This window comes from Homo sapiens, chromosome 2, assembly GCF_000001405.40.
Source record: "Homo sapiens chromosome 2, GRCh38.p14 Primary Assembly".
In the NCBI taxonomy this organism is placed as follows: Eukaryota; Metazoa; Chordata; class Mammalia; order Primates; family Hominidae; genus Homo; species Homo sapiens.
In genome coordinates this window covers 240,586,471-240,604,972 of record NC_000002.12, presented here as the reverse complement: position 1 = coordinate 240,604,972, position 18,502 = coordinate 240,586,471, and the positions used below count along the sequence as shown (strand labels likewise).

Sequence of the window (18,502 nt, the reverse complement as noted above, 5' to 3'; positions counted from 1 at the left end):
ATGAGGTCATGAAGGCAGAGGCGTCACGAATGGGATGAGTGCCCACATAAAACGGGCCCCAGGGAGTTCCTTTGCCCTTCCACCACATCAGGACACAGAGAGAAGGTGCTGTCTCTGGACCAGGAAGCAGGTCCTCACCAGGCACCAGGTCTTCCAGTGCCTCAATCTTGGACTTGCAGCCTCCAGAACAAAGAGCAACGCATTTCCACTGTTTACGAGCTGCCCAGGCTATGGTGCTTTGTTACAGCAGCCCAAAGGAACTCAAAGAGGGGCCCCACCAAGGAACTCAGGCAGGTGCAATGCCAGAAGAGCCAGTAAATCTTACAGGGGTGAGGAAACTCTTTGGCTTTCTCTATTTTCACGTAAACCAGCAGCCTTGCGGCAAAACGAGTGGTCAATAGGAGACTGAGTGACTGCTTGGCAGACAGCCAAGAGAGGCCGGAGAGGGCAGGAAGTGCTGGACAGTGGCTCCCAGCTCCAGAGCACCCCTAGAGGCCCCTGGGTGACACAGGCAGGGGAGCCTCACGGAGATCCAGGAGCAGGCATGCTGGAGGTGGTGCTGATTACAAGCTTGCTGATGGTCAGGCAGCGCTATCAGCTCTGAGGCTGAGAGGGGACTGAGGGTTTCTAGATGGCCTTCACCCTCAAGCAGAGCTGTGCGAGGAGCCGATCCAGGCTGGCTGCAGCCGCTGCAGAGTCCACCCCAGCAGACGCTGAGAGAGAAATGTCACTGGGTGGCCTGTGGCCACTGGCCCAGAAAGCAGGAAAAGTCCCACAGTGCCTCACCCCTGCTTGCCTTCCTTCCCTCCTGACACCCCAGGTGTCTCCCCCAAGCCGCCAGGCCAAGGGCGCTTCTCCCCGCAGGTGTTCCCAGGGTTATGGTCTACACAGCCACTGCTGAGAGGGTGCAGCCAGCAAGGAGTAAATACGCTGGCCAGCAGGTGTGAGCCGGGGCGGTAGCCCCAAGGGAAGGCCCATGGCTGGGCTGTGGGCAGCGTTCTTGGGGGCAGCCTTGTCCAGGGATGCCATGGGGTAGTCTGCCTGGGGAGGCTGAGCCAGGCAGGGCACAAAGACCAGGCGTTTCAGCCAGGTGGGGGCACCCCGGCCACCGACACTCCAGGCTTCTCCCTCACCAACCCCACCTCTTCCACCTTCCCTCCGAAATACCTTGCACCCAAATTCTATGTCTGCCTCTGCTTCTGGAGAATCCAACCCCCATTGGAGAAGAGAGTCACTAATTTGGGATTTGGAACTGGGTCACTCACGGCCCACGGGCAATGAGGACCCATCACTGGTCAGGGGAGATAGCTGGCGCCTGGCACAAGGTGGTCGTCCTGTCCAGTCCAGTTGTGAAACTGGTTCCAGTGTCCAGTGGGAAAGTTGGGGAAGGGGGTCTGCTGGGGGCCCCAGCTGCTGTTTGATGAATGAACAGACACGAGGGCCTCCAAGGAGGAAGCAAATAAGGCGCAGGTGGCTGAGGCCTCACTGAGGTGCCCTGGCTGGAGTTTGGAGAAGTTGGGCGGGGCGCAGCACTCCCAGCTCCTGATCAACACCTAGCCAAGGCCAAGGCCCCATCTGGAGAAACCAGGACCGTGGGCAGGGAGGAGGCAGTGCGTGGTGCCTGAAGGTTCCACTCTCCAGCCTCTTAGGAAGCTTCTGAGCCTGCACAGACGCGGCCCACCCCTCGCTCCACCCCCGTCAGGCCCTGGCCCCCCTTGGGTGCTAGGGCTCTGACCGAGTGAAGTGTCAGCAACATCCAGTGACCAGGGAGTGGGCTGCGGGCCCGGCCAGCTCGGGGCACAGGAGGGGGCTGCAGGCCCAGCCAGCTGGGGACGGGAGGCGGGAGCACTGGTAGGACTGGGTGCTGAGGCGCCTGATAGGGAAGCTGGAGACCTAACAGCAGTGTCCCGAGACACAGGTTTGACACCCTGGCAAGGCCCCTGGAGGTGGAGCAAACCTGGAGGTTCCTAGCGGCACAGGCAACACTTCCACTTTTGCTGGGCAGGGTAGAGATGCCACAACTGCTGTGGCTGGTGGAGGGTAGGCGTAGGCGTGTGTGGTGTGAGCTGCCAAGCACTGGTTCCCTGGGAAGACCAAGGTCACACCGCTCACCTGTGCCATGCTGGTTAATAGGGAGTGGCAGCTGTGCCGCAGGAGGCTGGCAGGAGTGGCGGCGGTGCCCCAGGAGCCTGGCGGGAGTGGCGGCGGTGCCCCAGGAGCCTGGAGGGAGTGGGCGGCGGTGCCCCAGGAGCCTGGCGGGAGTGGCCGGCGGTGCCCCAGGAGCCTGGCGGGAGTGGTGGCGGTGCCCCAGGAGCCTGGCGGGAGTGGCAGCGGTGCCACAGGAAGCTGGTGGCAGGAACCACCATCACTGGGTTTGGCTCGCCGGGGGCGGAGGGCATTAGACCTCTAAACAGCAGAGGCCAGGAGACAATCATGAACACGGCTGAAGGGCGCCAAGGGGCCTGCCTGCAGGGCTTACGGAATGGCAGCAGAGCAAGGCAGGGCTGCCAGCGAGGGCAGCGCTCAGGTGGAGCCGGCAGAGGGGTCCAGGAGGGCTGAGGGTGGTCACTCCGATAGAGCCCCAGTTGGGCCCACACTGCCCGAGTCGGTTTTCAGCCCAGGTATCTGCTGACTGAAGAGGTGGCCAGGCCTGCAAGATGAAGGACACTCCCCACATCAGCAAGTGTGCATGACAAGGACCTCCCCGGGGACTATGTGCACCAGGAAGAGAATATCCAGGCATCTGGGAGCCACTGAGCACACAGGCCCCAAGCTGATGCTGGTCCCCAAGAGTCACCAGGGCTCCATGACAGTGGGACACATCACAGGCAGTTAATAATGGAGTCCTGCCCAGGACCAGCTCACATGAGCCCACAGGGCCTACAGACCCACCCGGGGCCATGTCCCGGTCTCTGAGCCTGTGACTGGGATTGACACCTGGGGAGCGACCGATATCTCTGCTGCATCCTTGGGGTAGAGATGGCCGTGGGAAGGCCAAGAGGGACACTGGAAGGCCAAGACTGTCCCCTCCTGCCCGGGTCCCAGAGCAGCCGTGGCATGCGGAGAGAGGGTGGTGGCCCTGCTCTCTCCATTTGGTTCAGTGTGGCCCCGTGGGATGGGATTCCTGGAGGGCCACGTGGCGAGTGCACACACAGCCGAGGGGCAGCCCAGTGCAGCAGGTCCTGGAGGTCCAGGTACCCAGGGTTGGCCATCAACTGGACGAATACGCCACGGAAGATCAGAAGCTGCTCACATTTATATGAAATTTGTATGGAATGGACAAAGGCATTTGCTGTTTCTCCTGGGGCCTCTGCCGGAATACAGGACAGAGACCCCAGCTGGCCGGACACCCTGAAGAGCACCGCACTGATCCATGACCTTGGCAACAGGATGCTGATGGTGTCAGAGCAGGAGGCAGCCAGGGACAAACAACACCAGGCCGGGGCCTTCTGCACCAGAAATGTTTAGGTTGGCTGGGGGTTAGAGCCCTGCCAGACATCCCCTCCAACTGCATCTGGAACCTCCCATCAGAAGGAAGCACAAGGCCTCAGGGCTCTCCGCAGGCTTCGGAGGGAGCGTTTTCCACACCCAGGAACATGGTTCCAGCTGGTAGACCAAATGGCCAAAGCAGCCAGGTCGAGTGGAGCCAATCTACACTGGGGCGATGATGGGTGCCAACCATGGCCTCTAAAGTCACGGAACCCTGCGCTTTCGAGGCCTCCTCTCAGGCAGTAGCCTGGGACGCGGGAAGCAGGTCCTGGCTGTGGCCTTTGGGCAGAGCTGCCCAGCAGGAGGGTGTGGCCGCCACCTTCAGGGCCTGCCTCGGGGACAGTGGCTCCTGAGGGCCTGGGGGAAGGGATGCTCAACATAAGGGCCTGGCCAGCCCAGGTGGGGCCCTGCAGGCAGGGTTTGCTCCAGAACTCTTCACGGGGTCCCCACCAGTCTATCCTGACATGGACACAGTCCCTGCAACTGTCTTCCCTTCATAGGCACTGTGCCTGAGAAATACCTTGACCCCAACTGTCCCACCTCAACCTGCACCATCAGGCGCCCTGCACAGGACCTGTCCGCCCACAAACCCAGGGATCTAGGGCAGCTCCGACCCAGCTCAAGCCTCTGGCTTGGGCACTGCCCTGCGGGGTATTTCTTTGGTGAGCCGCCCCTCACTGTTCGCCCTGAGTTGCTGTACCCCAATAGGCGGCACCACTGGCTTCATCCGAAGTCAGCACAGAAGCCAGTGGATGAGGGAGATCTGTGGCAGGCTCTGCACGCAGGGAGATGGAGCCCCATCCTGCTGCTCAAGAATCCGTGTCTGAAGATGCCGAGAACCCAGCTGCCACAGCCACTGCTGCTGGAGGGCCATTGAACCAGCAAGCAGAGGGGCTCACGGGGCAGGCTCCAGGGCCAGGGCAGCTTCCTGTGGGTGAGTCAGGAGGGTGGCTTGGCGTGGCCAGGGCGTGGAGAGGGGGACAGCGGCACAGGTCCCAGTGGGAACAGACACCAGGACTCCAGAGATGGTCGTGATCCGGCAGCAAGGCCCAAATCAGGCTCACTGGGTGCTATGGTTTGAATTTGTGTTCCTGCCCAAATCTCATGTCGAATTATAATCCCCAGTGTTGGAGGAGCCTGGTGGGAGATGATTGGATCATGGGAGCGGATATCCCCCTTGCTGTTTTGGTGATAGTGAGTTCTCCTAAGATCTGGTCATTTAAAAGTGCACAGCACCTCCCCTTCGCTCTCTTCCTCCTTCTCCAGACACCTGCAGACTGCCTGCTTTCCCTCCGCCATGATTCTAAGTTTCCTGAGGCCTCCCCAGCCATGCTTCCTGTACAGTCTTCGGAACTGAGGCAATCAAACCTCTTTTCTTTATAAATTACCAGTCTCAGAGTTGTTTACAGCAATGTGAAAAAGGACCAATACACGGGGTCTCCCCAGGCACAAAGGGACTCAGGAAGCGAATGGAATTTAAAAGGGATTAGAGCTGGGGTTGGCGGTCATGCCTGCAATCTTAGTGCTTTGGGAGACCAAGGCAGGAGGATCACTGAGGCCAGCCTAGGCAACCACATACTAAGACCCCTAAGCATTCAAAACTTGAAAAAACTAACCAGGCATGGAGTGTGCGCCTGTTTTCCTACCCACCTGGGAGGCTGAAGAGGGAGGATCACCTGAGCCCAGAAGGTCGAGGCTGCAGTGAGCTATGATCATGCCACTGCACTCCAGCCTGAGCAACAGAGCAAGACCCTGTCTCTAAAACAAAAGGGCTTAGTGACAGCCCTCCCCACCCATGTCTGGAACTGTCTTCTGCACCGTTCAGTGACACTACAGCTCTCATCACAGCATTTGGTGTGAGGGACGAGGGAGAGAGGCCTGGGGAAATAAACAATCCTAGGACACTGCGCAGGTGAACCCTGGCTGGAGGCAGAGGAGCCGTCCAGATCCAAGGCTCCCAGTCCATGTGAACCTGGGGTTCCTCCCTCTGCGCAACTCCGGTTCTAACACCCGTTTCCGAGATGTCCTTCTTCGCCACAGCCTTGGCAGTGCCTTCGCTGGCTCTCCCCACCCCTCACTCCCCAGTCTATCAGTCTGTGTCCCCCAAGACCAGGGCTTGACCTGCCCCGGCCAGCCTCAACCTCAGCCCCCTGGCCTGGGGCATGCCCTGGGCCCGCCCCTCCAAACTTCTCCCCTCCTCCCCACTCACCATCTCCCCCTGAAACCTGCCCTGCCTGGGTTGGCTCTGCCCACCTCCCAGGCCCCCAGCCCCTCCAGAGGCCATCCTCATCCTCACCATCTCGGCAGGCACCCAGCCCTCCCCACAGCCTGCTTGGCAAGAGCAGGCACAGCCTGGAACTACCTGGAGCAAGACTGATCTGCAAATCATCAGCGCTCATGTTTATTTATAAAGTTACATCCTAAAAGTGATTCGAACAATAAATAGTTATAAAGAAGATCTGCTGCCCTACCCTCTGGGTGTGAGGCCTCCATATGGAGTCAGCAGAGGATCTGGGAGGGATCCTGGGAAGCTCTGGGATCCTGGGGTCTCTGCCGTCTCAGTGGCGCAACAGAAGCCAGCAAGCTTCCCACCCTTCCTTGCAGCACCAGCTGGCCCCCAGGGCTGCGTCTCTCCTGACGGAGGCTTCCCGTGGACCCCTAGGCCGCAGCCTCCTGGCAGGGCTGGGAGGCAGGCCAAGACTCAGGACCAGCCCCCACAGTGCAAGGCTGGCCGGCCCAGCTGCTGGGAACCTGTCAGGCCCTCGGGCTCCAGTCACCTGAGCTGGCACAGGGGGCCACCCTGTTAGGTTTTCATCACTGCCATGATGGAGACCTGCAAAGACAGATGGGGGGCCCGGGCAGCGGTGGCACTCGCCCCTTCTCACACCCCACCCCGAGTGCAGCCAGGGAATGGGACGCAGCCTCAGCTCCCCCTGCCCTTCAAGGCACCGCCCGGGGCTCTCACAGGAAGAGTCAAGGGCACCTCACGTCCCAGGCAGAAACCACCTGCCTGAGGTTGCAGGTAGACCCTAGGCCACCAGGCAGCCCCAGGCAGGTGAGCCGGGCTGGCGGGGCTGCATACACACCTCTTGGAGGAACTGGCCCAGCATCTCCTGGCTGTGAATGGATGGCCTGTGGAGAGACACCAGATCAGCGCTCCCAGACTGCACTTGTCACACAAGTGGCTGTGTGCTCCTGGCCCACCTCCCACTAGACTCTCCTTCCAGGCTCAGACCAGCAAGGAAGGGTCCCCAGGTAGGCAGGACAGCCCTGGTCTGCCAGGACAGATAGGGGCTTGAGGGTGAGGGGCAGGCAGGAGACGTGGGGGGACAGGCGAGCACTAAGACTCCAGCACCCCAGCCTCCAGCTGGCCGCCCCCAAGTCCCAGAGCCCCACCTGTCAATCCTGGTTGCGATGGTCACTGTGAAGGCCCCCTCTGTGTCCGGCAGGTAGGTGGAGGGCACAACCTTGTAGGTGCCCGCAGGCAGGAGGCAGAGCCGGCTCACCTCCTGGGCGTAGCGATGTGGCACGCAGCTCAGCAGCGGCTCCTGCAGCAGCAGTGGGGGTGCGTCCTGGCTCCTTCCACCCTCTGGGACCTGAGGAAAGCGCAGGCTCAGACTGAGGGGGCCAGCCTTGGGGTAGGGAGCCCAGCCCAGGGCCATCTGCTCGGATGCCCTTGGCCCTCTTGAGTCACATACAGCCCCTTCTCTGAGGAGGGGCTGCCAGGCCTGGACACTGGACTCGCCTCCTCACCAAGGCCTGGCCACCCTTGCCAGAAGGTGCCGGCAGTGGGGCCCCCGCCTGGAGGCCTGTCACATCATCAGGGGCTTTAACACCTGTGACTGCCCAGCCCGCCCCAAGGGCTCCCACTGGCCCTGGCATGTGTTTTCCTCAGAGCTCTAGGGGACCTGAGCCGGTGGCCCAGGGCAAACAGCGAGGGTCCAAGGGTCCCCAGGCAGCCCACTGTGAACCGAGGGTTGCAGTGCCTTCCTCGTCAGGGCCCCTGCATTCCAGGGGACACATGTCTGCAGAGAATGAACCTTGGGACACAGTCATTCTGAGTCAGGGTAAGTGGACAAGGGGCTGCTGGCTGAGCTCAGTGACTGTGGACTTCCTCACACCCGAGGGGCTGCTGTGGCCAGCCAGCCTGGGCCTCCCCTCCTCTCACTCCTGAGTCCATCAGCCCCCTGCGTTCCCAAGCCAGGGCTCGACCCACCCCCGCTGGTCTCAACCTCGGCCTCCTGTCCTCTCCAAACTTCTCCCTTCCTCCCCACTCACCACCTCCTCTGGAAACCTGCCCTGCCTGGATCAGCCCTGCCCACCTCCCAGGCCCCCGGCCCTTCCAGAGGCCATCTTCGGCCTTGCCTCTGAGAGGTTGGAGATGGGAGAGGGCCCTGTGCGGGTTCTAGGCAGCGCCTCGAAGGGCAGGGGGAGCCCAAGTGACTGAGCCCAGAGCCCTCTGTTGGGACAATGGAGGCCAAGATGCAAATTCTCTGAGGGCCCCTTCTGCTCCCCCTCCCTCCCTGGGGCAAGGAGCTTGCCTGGAAGATATGGAAGCCGATGGGGTGGAACTCGGTGTCACTGGGCCGGCAGTGCTGATGCAGAGTGATGCGGACGCAGCGGGGGCCAGGGCCCTCGGGGACCGAGAAGGGGAAGCAGGGGTTGGTGGGGTATGAGGCAAAGTTCCTGCTGCCCCCCGCCGTCTGGCCGACTCTCCAAGAACCCCGTAGCTGCACGGTCCCCCACTCCCCCGCAGGCAGGGCTGCCCCGGGGGTGGTGTTCTTGGCCACTGCCCTGATGGCGCTGCCAAGAAGACAAACATGGGAGGGCGCTGGCAGCAGGTTCCCGGTGGCCTCAGTTCCCACATGGACACCTGCCAACCACAGAGGGAAAGTGCCCAAATCCTGCCTTGGAAGGGCCTGTGGCCTCGGAGAGCCAGCAGCACTGCGCGGTTCCTCTCACCTAAGGGAGACTCGCCCGGTAGAGAAGACTCGGAGCAGGAACTCCCCTGGCGCGTCCTTCAGGAAGGTGCTGGGGACAGCCAGGTAGTAGCCCGGTGAGAGCTCACAACGCAGGTGGACCTCCCGGTCGTATGCATGGCACGCGGTGCCAGCCACGGGGGGCATGGACAGGACCCTAGGCAGATTGACCCGCCGCTTCTCTACCTGTGAGCACGTGCAGGAGGCTCAGTGTGGAGGAGCGGCCGGGGTCAGACGCCCTGGCCTTGACCTCCCTGCTGCAAGCACAAGGGCCTCTGGAGTTGACAGATGAAAGCGCCAAGGCCTGTCAGCACCCTCCACCCTCTCTCAGGGACCAGCTAGAGATGCCCACCAATCCCGGGCTTCACTTGGCCCTGGCGCCAGTATCTGTCCCAGACACGAGCCTGCAAGTCCTCCTTGTAGCTGGGCCCACAAAGGCACCGTGGCCCAGGCAACCTGGGGGCTGCTGGACAGTGGGCCTTCCAGCAACTTCTTTTGCAAGAGGAAAGGAACATCATGTGGGCCACATCCATGAAGGGACAGGGAACAGTGTGGTGCCAAGTGTCACACCCTGTCAAGACACACAAGATGAAAACCCAGCCCCTGAGCGAGCAGCCGGCATATCCTCGACCCACACTCAGGCCCTTTGCCCTCAGGCGCCCCCATCTGTTCTTCCTGGAAACAACACACTTTGTGAACCAGTGGTTGAGCCTGGGACTGCCTGGGCCTCAGAGCAATCCCATGAGATCCGTGTCAGGACCCCGTCTTGCAGGGGAAGAGACTGAGGGAGGCAGGGAGAGGATGTGTGCCAGGTCACACAGCAAGCTGCAGAGCTGGGACTGGCCCTGACAGGTCCTCAGCCGCTGGCTCTACCTCCTTGCCTCAGAAAGGCACGGCGCTGCCAGGAGCCCCCCGGGTCCAGGCCCCTCCTGCGGGTCCTGCCCTGGCTGCAGACTCTGTTGCTTTCCTTTGGCCAATGAGGCACACGGCAAGGCAGAAAGACCTGCAGTCTCAGGTCAGAGCCGGGTCTGGGAGCACCAGCAGACGTCAACCCCGTGCAACAGCCCAAGGAGGGGGGAGACTGGTGGGGCCCGTGGCAGAGTCACATGTGTCCCGGCAGAGCCAGTCCTAGAACCCAGACCTCCATGGGCCTCCACACCACCTGCTGAACCGAGCGTGAGCCAGACGGGGCTGAGTTACCTTCCAGAGGTGCAGACCCACAGCCTGGTAGTGCTTGCCCGGGATGCTCGCTGGGCTCCACGAAGTATGACTGTCACCCACCAGTGCCCGGGCCCGGCCTGCCCAGTCCGCCGCGTGCAGCCTGGATCTCTGCAGGACGGCAATGTACACCTCACTCGGTTCTGAGACCCGCAGCCAGAATTTGGGGTTGCTGGGAAAGCCGCTGTTGTTCCGGCAGCCTCCTGCTGACTGGCCCTTGACCCAGGCCCCAGGCAGCGCCCGCGTATGGCAGAGCAGCCTCTCTAGTGAGAAAACACCAGGCATCAGCTGTGGGACACGGCTCCTCGCTGGCCTCCCGCCATGGTGGCCTCATGAACCCTGGCAGGGTCTAAGCAGCAGCTACGGCCACAGACAGAGCCAGCCCCTCCCACAAGCCCACCCTCCTCCCAGCTCCTGGGACAGAATCATCACCCTCCTCCCGGCTCCTGGGACAGAATCATCTCTCCACGCTGAAGAGAACCAAACTGGGCCTGGGCAGGGGGAACCCAGGCACCTGCCCAGCCTCCTCACTTCGGCAGGCAGAGCACGTGCCCAGCACAGCCCCTCGGGGCACTACCTGTGTAGAGGCTCTGCAGGTGGCCGGCCTCCGTGACCGGGTAGCCAACGGTGAGCTCGTCAAACTCCCTGAGGAACTCCTCCTCCTCCACCCAGAACTCCCCTTCCTGGAGCTGGGACAGGAGCTCAGATGCTACCGCTGCATCTACCTGGCTCCACCCTTCACCCCTGGAAGAAACCTCATCTCAGCAGAAGCCCCTCCCGAGAACTGGTAGTGTCAACTTGCCGGCAGGCTGGGGGGAAGCCTGGAGGGGACCCAGAGAGCCCTGAGTTCCTGCCAGCAACCCCGTGCCCCAGCTCTGCAGCCCCTCCCACACCCGAAGCAGCTCTGCAGCACAGGGCCTTCTGGGCAGCGGCCACCCTGGAGCCCTCTCTTTTCCCAGAGGAACTTCACGCCTCTGGATGCGTCTTCCCAGGACTGCTGCCCGAGCCCGTGATGATGTCTGCCCTATTGAAACCCCAGGCCCAATGGCCACCTTGGTCCCAGGCCTCACAAGGATTGCCTGGAGCCAAGACAAGCATGGTGTCACGAGAGCAGGGACTCAGGGGCCTTGCTGGAGACAGCCAAGTACAGTCCTGACAGCTGAAGGTGACCAGGACACAGGCCAGACTGGCACTGGGCCCCCCTCCCGACAGCAGCATGGTCCAGGCCCCAGCACTCACCCCTCTCTCCAGAGCCCCTGCCAGCACCGCCGGCCCCAGGGGTTCTGGATCCGCAGCAGCAGGATGCACTGGCCCGCCTGACCCTGGAGCTCCCGCAGGTCCGAGACAATGAAGGCATGGAACTCCCCCAGCTCCCGGGCACCTGCATGAGGAATGGCGCAGGCACAGGCAGGAAGGGCACCATGGAGTCCCAAACTGACAAGGACACACAGGCCTCTGCCTCCTCCTCTGGAGATGCTCCAGCCCACCCCACTATGGCTACACGGGAGACCCCAGATCCCCATGGACCACGAGAGCTCCTTTCTTAGCAGCTGTGACCCATCAGCTCAGGAGCATCTCCAGGAGCAAGCACACGGGGCCTGACTCGGCTGCCATCCGGGTCTGGTGCTGGGTAAGTCATCCCCTTCTCTAGGCCTCAGTCATCGTCCGTACCCATCTGTGCACGATGCCTGGCACAGCACCAGTTCTCAAACATGCTGCACAGATGCATCTGCAACTGCCAGAAATCTAGAGAGTGTTTCTCTTGGCAAAGCCTGCTAGAGGTAGGACATTCAGATAGTGCCCTGGCTAGAAGCCCACTGGAGGCATGGAGGCCCAGGGGGGCAACAGCTCCACCTGGCCAGAGACCTTGAGACAGATGGGCATAGAAAAGAAAGAGCCAAACAGAGAGGAAGGCCACATCTGTGGCGGGGCAACGGTCTAGAGAGGAGGGTCTCCTGGAAGGACTTCAGTCTCGCCCACGCCGCGGCCCCTTGCCACCTCAGCAGGCTCCAATGCACCTCCAGTCAGTGCCAGCTGCCATCTCTCTCTGCCTGGGGGCTTCCTCTAAAGCCTGAAGTGCTAGGACTTAGCGCTACCCCACCCTGGAGCACCCAAAACCAACAGCTCCCCGAGCTAATGCCCACCAGACCAGCGCCCTCACTCCCAGGTGGGAGGCTCTGAGGCCAGCGTCCTTCCTGGCACCCCAGCGGGGCTGGCGGGGAGTACACGCCCTCCAGGCTCTCTGAACCTCTCAACGTGCTCCTGAACCTCATCTCAGGGTCTGCTTATGGGGGACCCAGACCAAGGCCTATGACAACTTGTTTCAGTTTACTGTGATATTCATATTCTTTAACCCATATTTTTAAAATAATCCTAAGTATGAAAAAAATGATAAAGATGTTCATTGATACTGCTTATAATTATATAAAACCAGAGAGATCTTAATATCCAACATCAGGGGAATGATTAAGAGACTGTGGCAAACCCGCTCATGGGGCGAACATTTGACAGCGCGTGTGTGGCAGTGTGAGAAGCGGTGCGGAAGGGAACACGTAAACCGTGCGTGCTCATGGAAAACTGAGAGCGCACTCAAAAGTCACATGTGGTTCCATCTAAGTGATTTTTTTCCTTCATTTTTTGTAGAGATGAGATCTTGCCATGTTGCCCAGGCGGGTCTCTTGAACTCCTGGGCTCCAGCGATACTCCCACCTCAGCCTCCCAAAGTTCTGGGATTACAGGTGTGAGCCACCACACCTGGCCCCTTTCATTTTTTGGAGACAAACTGTTTTTAACGAATGTTATCTATCACTAAAATAAAAAACAGGTTTTGATTTTGCCAGGTTGCCAGCTGGGCCAGGGATGGCACAGACAGTGGGCTTTGACTCGGTGCCACCTCTTCCTGCCTCGCACTAGTGGAAAGGACTGGTCAGGGGAGAGAAGGGCCACGTCCCTCTGGAAGAGGACAGTAGGGGAAGGTCACAAACTGAGGACACCACCCTTGAGAACAAGCTTACTTCTTCCCACTTAGTCCTGACAGGGCTGTGTAGCCAGTCACATAAAAAGCTACAGTGTGCCTGAGGCCTGGCAGTGGGGGGCACGCTGGCTGCAGCCCTCCCATGCTGGCCACGTGCCTCACCTGCTCTGGGGCTGAGCACGCAGCAGCTGATCAGACACTGGTCCTTCAGGTGGAGCAGCTGCCGACAAGTCCTGTGCTCCCAGCGGCCTGGCCTGTCCTGCTGGCCTCCGCTTCCTGCTACGCCCTTCAGGTTCCATCTTTCTGCCAGGCCGCCGGTCAGGTCCACCAGGGCATCCGCCACCTGCCCGGCCCACAGGTGCTCGTAGGACCCATGGACCCTAGGGGACACAATCACCATGGGAGTGAGCCTCTGGCATTGAGCATGGCCCCCTCTCTGATTCCCATGGTCTGTAGCACCCCAAATCGTCCAACCGCTGCCTCAATCCCACCTCTTTACTCCCCTCTGCCTTCTTCCTCATCCTCACCAAGTCAAGGCTTAGCCTCACCTTCAAACGCCTTACTTCACAGCAAGCGTGAGCGCCCTGCAGTCCTCTGCCCACACACAGAAACTCTCTGGCATCCGGTGTGGGCACAGGAGCAGGGCAGGAGGCGTGGAAGCTATGGATGCCCACATCCCTTGGCTCTCAAGCTCCAACCCTGCTTTTCCTAAAACAGCCCTTGGGATGGAAGGGCTCACTGGGCACTGATGTCACCAGCCAGCCTTCCCATGTTCACCAGCTTCCCTGCCTGCCTGTCAGTCCAGTTGCCTTTGGCAAGAAGACAAATGCATTCTAAGAGGGAAGGCTATTCAATTATGACTCATGGTGAGGGTCCTGGTCCCCTGAGCCAGCAAGCACCGTGATACACAAGTGTTGGTATGCTGGGGTAGCCTCATTCCTCCCCAACGACTACACAATGAGTCTGCCTGTCCCAACCACTCCACAACAAATATAAAGAAGCATCTTTCTTGCTGGGGCCGATAAAATAAGGAGGACGGCACACATGTTCTCTGTGGAGAACGACTCCACGCTGGGCTTTGGAACAAGGGAAGGGAAAGCAGGGAGTGGGCAATCCACAGGCCCAAAAGAAGAATCTCTGCACCTGGCCTGTCAGCCTGACTCACAGAATGAGCTGCCAGACCCTCAGAACTGAAGGGGGCTCTGCAGCCCAGAGTGAGCAGAGACCCTCCTGGGGCAGCCCATGGTAGTGGCAGCTCCCACTTGCCCCAGGCCAGGCCCTTCAGCCCCCAGCACACGCACTTGGCGTAGACCTTTTCCAGTAAGGGGAGCCAGAACACATCCTCCCTCTGGCAGCGGGAGAAACAGAGTCTCCCTGCAAGGCACGGCAGGCGGTCATCTGTGGTCACCTCCACCCAGCGTCCAAACTGCCAAATGCGACAGGTGAAGGAGCCCCGGTACTCCTGGTCGGCCCAGCTCGGCTGTCCCGGAGGAATGACCTGCCATGCACAGGGAGAAGCAAAAGGCGAGCGTGATATAAGCACCACCCGGCGCTACTCCAGTGTCCCGGCCGCGGTGTGGCCACAGCTGAGTGCTCCACAGGCACCGCGGTCTGCAGAGAACTCTAACGCACACCTGGATGTCGCAGAGAACTCTACGGCACACCTGGATGTCGCAGAGAACTCTACGGCACACCTGGATGTCGCAGAGAACTCTACGGCACACCTGGATGTCGCAGAGAACTCTTCGGCACACCTGGATGTCGGCGCCTGCACAGGGCTGCATCACCCACATGAAATTAACAGACCTCTCATTGCAAAACTTGAGGACCACACCGAGGGAGCCACATATCCCGGGACACACTCTGCTGCCCTCACTAAAAGCATCTGACCTGAAGCCAAAACAAATGTGACATTCAAGGGCATGAGTGACCCAGTTCTTGACCGAGCTGGCTGCAAGCAACACGTCACCACAGGAACAGCAGCCCCTCCTGCTGCTGGGAGCCTGGCGCCCCGACACTGGGCCAGCTGCTTGCACCCACAGCGTCCACCGCAGGGCTCCTTCAGGGGTAAGCATTCTGACCCAGCATCGGGGGAGTGCAGGCTGGGCACCAGGCACCTGGTGCGGTCCTGGCTCTGCCACTTTACGGCCAGAAACACAATGGCAGTGATTTTAGCACTCTCGTTTAAAAAAAAAGTCAAAGCTGGTAAGACCATGTGTCTGAAAGCCAGTGACTGTGACACGCTTACCATGGGGCCTGGGACATGAGTGAAACTCTGAATGAGGTCACACTGTTGACGCCGCTGCATTAATCAGCAACACTTAGCAACAAGCCAAGCATAAAACGGTGAACACTCCCAGGTAAGGAAAACCTGAGAAGGCCTTCTCCTCCCAGAGTATCTGTCTACCCACAGAAACAGGTTTAATAACTTTTTGCAAACTTATATTCAAAACCTGTAAGAAAACCAGCGAGCTAGCTGAGGAGAGATCTGAGGCAGAGGCTGCCAGCCAGCCCCGTCCTCCTGTGAGCTGGCACATTTGTCTCTTTATTCTAAACGTGGTGATCTGACTCCATGGAGTCCGGGGGTCAGGAGAGCACAGAGCAGGGCGAACCTCCCTGATGGAGCCTTCTGGCGAGGCCAAGGCACCCCCCCCTGCAGCAGAGGGACAGAGTGCAGTCCTCAGCCTCTGCCTTGGAACTCTCCTGCCTTCCCCCAACACAGCAGGAGATCCGGCTGCGGCACAGCTCTGCTTTCGCAAGGCCTCCTGGTACTCAGCAGGCTGGAGAAACGCAAAAAGAAACCGGCTCCAGGACAAACACAGGGAAGGGGCCCCGCACCTGGTCCAGGAGGTGCCTGCTCTTCTGCAGCGCGGCGCAGGCACACAGGAACCAGCAATCCCCCAGCAGCCCCTGCTTCACCTGCCCTTCCCGTGGGTCATCTGGAAACAGCCGGGGTGTGGCACAAATCTCCTGAGATACAGAAAGTTGTCCAGAGTTAGATCATGCCTGCTGTGGAACCCTTCAAACTAAGAACCCAAGGCTCTAGATGACAGGAGTTGGGGTGGAGCTTTTCCGATCATCAGTGTTACCCAAAAAGGGACAGGAAGGTGGTTTCCTGCAGCGGGTGTCCTTCAGCTCCTGGCTTCAAATGCCTCTGTCCAGCTTAATTCTGGGGTGCCTTCCTTCCTTACTGGAAAAATCCCAAACTCTAGCAAGCTCCTTCTCAAAACAGCTAAATGTTGGCTTCGAAAAGTTTCACTTTTTACTCATGCTGGTAAATCTCAAATGTGTCCTCCATCCTGCTGGAAATCTGTTTCTCTAGCAGGCTCCATTTCCCACACCCCCTAACTATCATATACCTTCCCCTTTCTCCCCGTCTACTCAAAACATCCACACTGCCCTTGCCCACCCCTCTGAGCTTCGACCTTGCCTCCTGCTTCTGGACCTGACCCTCTCTCCTGCCCTCAGAGCCTGGGCTCCTCTCACAACTCCTTCCCTTCCAGCTCCCCGGGCAGAATCCCACCCCCATGTTCTTTAAGACATTATCTCTCAGCACCATAGTCTCCTTCAGGCTTCTCTTCATTACAGCTCTTGAAAGAGCTGCCATGCCCACTACCTGCTTCCCATTCACTCTCCACACAGGCTCCTCTAGCTTCTGAGCCAATCATGGCCCCTAAACTGCCTCGATCAATGTCGCTGTCACCTCTATGTTATCAAACCCACTGGGCTTCTCTTGGTCCCAACTCTCTTCCCCAACTACTCAGCAGCATTCACAACAGCAGAACAGCCATCTGCTGCCCCTGAGGTGGTCCCCACTCAGCTTCTGTGAGGCCGCATGCTCCCCGGGTGTCCTCTCCCTCACTGCCTGCTGCTTCTCAAGTCTATCTGTCAGGGCACCTGCCTGACCCCAAGAAATGTTAGGGTTCCTCAAGGCTCAGCCCCAAGGCCCCCTTCTTCTTTACTGATACTCCCCCGAGACACTCTCCCAGGCTGTGGACTGTAAACCATCTAATATGCTCCGCCTCCCAGAAGAATGCCTCTAGCCTATCCCTGCTCCGTATCCACCTGCCTCCAGGACAGATCCACCTGCCTCCAGGACAGCTCCACCTGAAGACGTGAGAGCAAAGCCCAACTCTAGGTCACCCCCAGGCTCTGTCCCAGGACCACCATCCACCCACCTGTTCAGGCCAGAAACCCAGAAGGCATGTTGATCCCTCCACTATCCTCACCCTCTATTTCAATCAGTCACTATGGCCTCTCGATCCCCCCTGCAAGGTACGTCTCAAACCAATCTACTCCAAACCCACATCCTAACAGTCGTCAAGCTAATCTGAGCCCCTTCATCTTTCTCCAGGACCACTACAATGGACCCTTGCATTCTTGCCCCGACAACCCACTTCCCACCCAGCAGCAAGAGTGAGCTTGTAAAAACACACATCCAAGAGAACCACTCCTCTACCAAAACCCTCTAGTGGCCTCCAGCTGCACCTAAAATCAATCTTTTAACAAAATAAAACCCAAATTCCAATGACAAGGCTCTACATGGTCTGACCCTTGCCTCCTCCCAGGCCCTTCAGTGTTGTCCAAGGAAACCAGGTGGCCTGTCAAAGCCATCTCAGTCACGAGAGCCCAGAAGTTCCAGCTCTGTTCGAAGACTGGCGGCCATCAGTTGTCTCCGCTAAGACCGCATCCACTTAGGGCAAGGTTGCTCCCTGGGCAGTCTTATTCAGCAGATAAACCATTTCTAAAAATATGAACACAGCACTCGGCCAGGGCATCCCTTGGAGGTGCCATTTCTAGGTGTTACAACTGGAAAGGCAGGTGCACAAAATCCAAAACTGAAATTCTATCACGCTTTGCTTTGTGGGCTCGGCCTAGCCACTTCAGAGGGGCACGAGCGGCCCTCTCTGCGGGAGGAGCAGACACAAACGCTCTTCAGGGCGAAAGCAAACAGGTGGGGCGGGGTTTGGGGCTCTGTTAAAACGCCTCTCGCAGCGCTCTGAGCCTCCTGGATTGGAGCTCTCGCAGGCGGAGGCCACGACCTAGTTTAGCGTCCTTAGGGTAGCGCCGAGTCCTGCTCGTTCTGGGCGGGGGTATGAAGGAGGTACGAAAAGAGGGGGCCGGGCGCCCACTTCTGAGGAGAACAACGGCGGACCCTGCGTTCGGAGCTACCCTGGCCGCCCACCCCGCCCCGCTCCCTGCGAGGAGCGGAGATCTCAGAAACCAGAAACGGCGCCCACCGCACCCCACACGGCCCCACCTGGGGCCGCCTCCACGTGATGTCCTCGCGGAACTGGGCCAGCGGCGTAGACAAGTCGCAGAAGAGCGAGGAGTCCGCGGCGGGGAAGGCGGCGTCCCGGAACAGCTCCCTCGCCGGCGTCGCGCCCCGGCCCGCCCGCATCCTCGGCTCCGCGGGCTCCCATCTGCAGCCGGTTGCCTCGGGGTCGCAGCCCCGGAGAGAAGGCGAGTCAGCCGCCGCCGCCTCCGGCCCGCCCCGCCCGTTCCCCGCCCGGCCCAGCCCTCCAAGCCCGAGGGCCCCGCAGGTGCTGGACCAGGCCAGTACGCCGGCCCGCTAGTCTCCCATTGGTAACCAGGCGGCAGCCAACCGGGCGTGGGGTCTCGGGTCACGTGACAGGCGGCCCAATCGCACTCGCGCGACGGAAAGCGCCACGGACGTCGGAGGCCCAGGGGGCGGGGCTCCCGAGCTCCGCTCTTTCGTGGTCGGGCGGCGGACCGCACTGTATTTTTTCCTTCCGGGGGCGGCGGAGCCCAGGGCTATCCCGGCCTCCGCTCATACCCGGAGGGCCGGCAGGCGTTCAGTCCTCCAGCCGGTGAGGCTCGG

General features: G+C 60.1%; 1 protein-coding gene across 2 annotated transcripts, besides 4 other annotated features; it reads right to left on the bottom strand.

The window, feature by feature from the left end:
* CAPN10 (calpain 10) lies at positions 5,869 to 18,239 on the bottom strand. 2 transcript variants are annotated; one of them, NM_023083.4, is made up of 12 exons: positions 17,921 to 18,239; positions 15,499 to 15,630; positions 13,962 to 14,158; positions 12,823 to 13,040; positions 10,926 to 11,067; positions 10,264 to 10,430; positions 9,669 to 9,949; positions 8,452 to 8,654; positions 8,031 to 8,292; positions 6,886 to 7,085; positions 6,576 to 6,621; positions 5,869 to 6,322 (listed from the first exon to the last, which is right to left on the bottom strand). In NM_023083.4, the coding sequence occupies exons 1-12, from the start codon at positions 18,059 to 18,061 to the stop codon at positions 6,293 to 6,295; spliced, it is 2,019 nt and encodes a 672-aa protein (NP_075571.2). In that variant the 5' UTR covers positions 18,062 to 18,239; the 3' UTR covers positions 5,869 to 6,292. The 2 variants fall into 2 exon arrangements, with proteins under 2 accessions (NP_075571.2, NP_075573.3); NM_023085.4 differs by lacking the exons at positions 8,031 to 8,292; positions 8,452 to 8,654.
* Positions 17,402 to 18,228: an enhancer, noted in NCBI's record as "H3K27ac hESC enhancer chr2:241526162-241526988 (GRCh37/hg19 assembly coordinates)". NCBI's record gives its function as "activates a minimal SCP1, AML or CMV promoter by ChIP-STARR-seq in naive H9 embryonic stem cells {active_cell/tissue: H9 hESC(naive)}" and the evidence as "EXISTENCE:reporter gene assay evidence [ECO:0000049][PMID:30033119]".
* Positions 17,402 to 18,461: a biological region, named in NCBI's record as "Sharpr-MPRA regulatory region 5965".
* Positions 17,973 to 18,202: a silencer, noted in NCBI's record as "silent region_12521". NCBI's record gives its function as "represses an Ori minimal core promoter by ATAC-STARR-seq in GM12878 lymphoblastoid cells {active_cell/tissue: GM12878}" and the evidence as "EXISTENCE:reporter gene assay evidence [ECO:0000049][PMID:35858748]".
* Positions 18,167 to 18,461: an enhancer, noted in NCBI's record as "tiled region #5965; HepG2 Activating DNase unmatched - State 1:Tss, and K562 Activating DNase unmatched - State 1:Tss". NCBI's record gives its function as "activates a minimal TATA promoter and a strong SV40 promoter by Sharpr-MPRA in HepG2 and K562 cells {active_cell/tissue: HepG2 | K562}" and the evidence as "EXISTENCE:reporter gene assay evidence [ECO:0000049][PMID:27701403]".

Bases quoted from the DNA above. Each gene is read 5' to 3' on its own strand.
- CAPN10 (NM_023083.4), bottom strand. From the start codon at position 18,061: ATGCGGGCGGGCCGGGGCGCGACGCCGGCGAGGGAGCTGTTCCGGGAC. The intron at 14,159-15,498 runs GTGCGGGGCCCC...TGTGCATGGCAG, and splicing joins GCAGGCACCTCCTGGACCAG to GTCATTCCTCCGGGACAGCC. The intron at 8,293-8,451 runs GTGAGAGGAACC...TCTTCTTGGCAG, and splicing joins ACCGGGCGAGTCTCCCTTAG to CGCCATCAGGGCAGTGGCCA.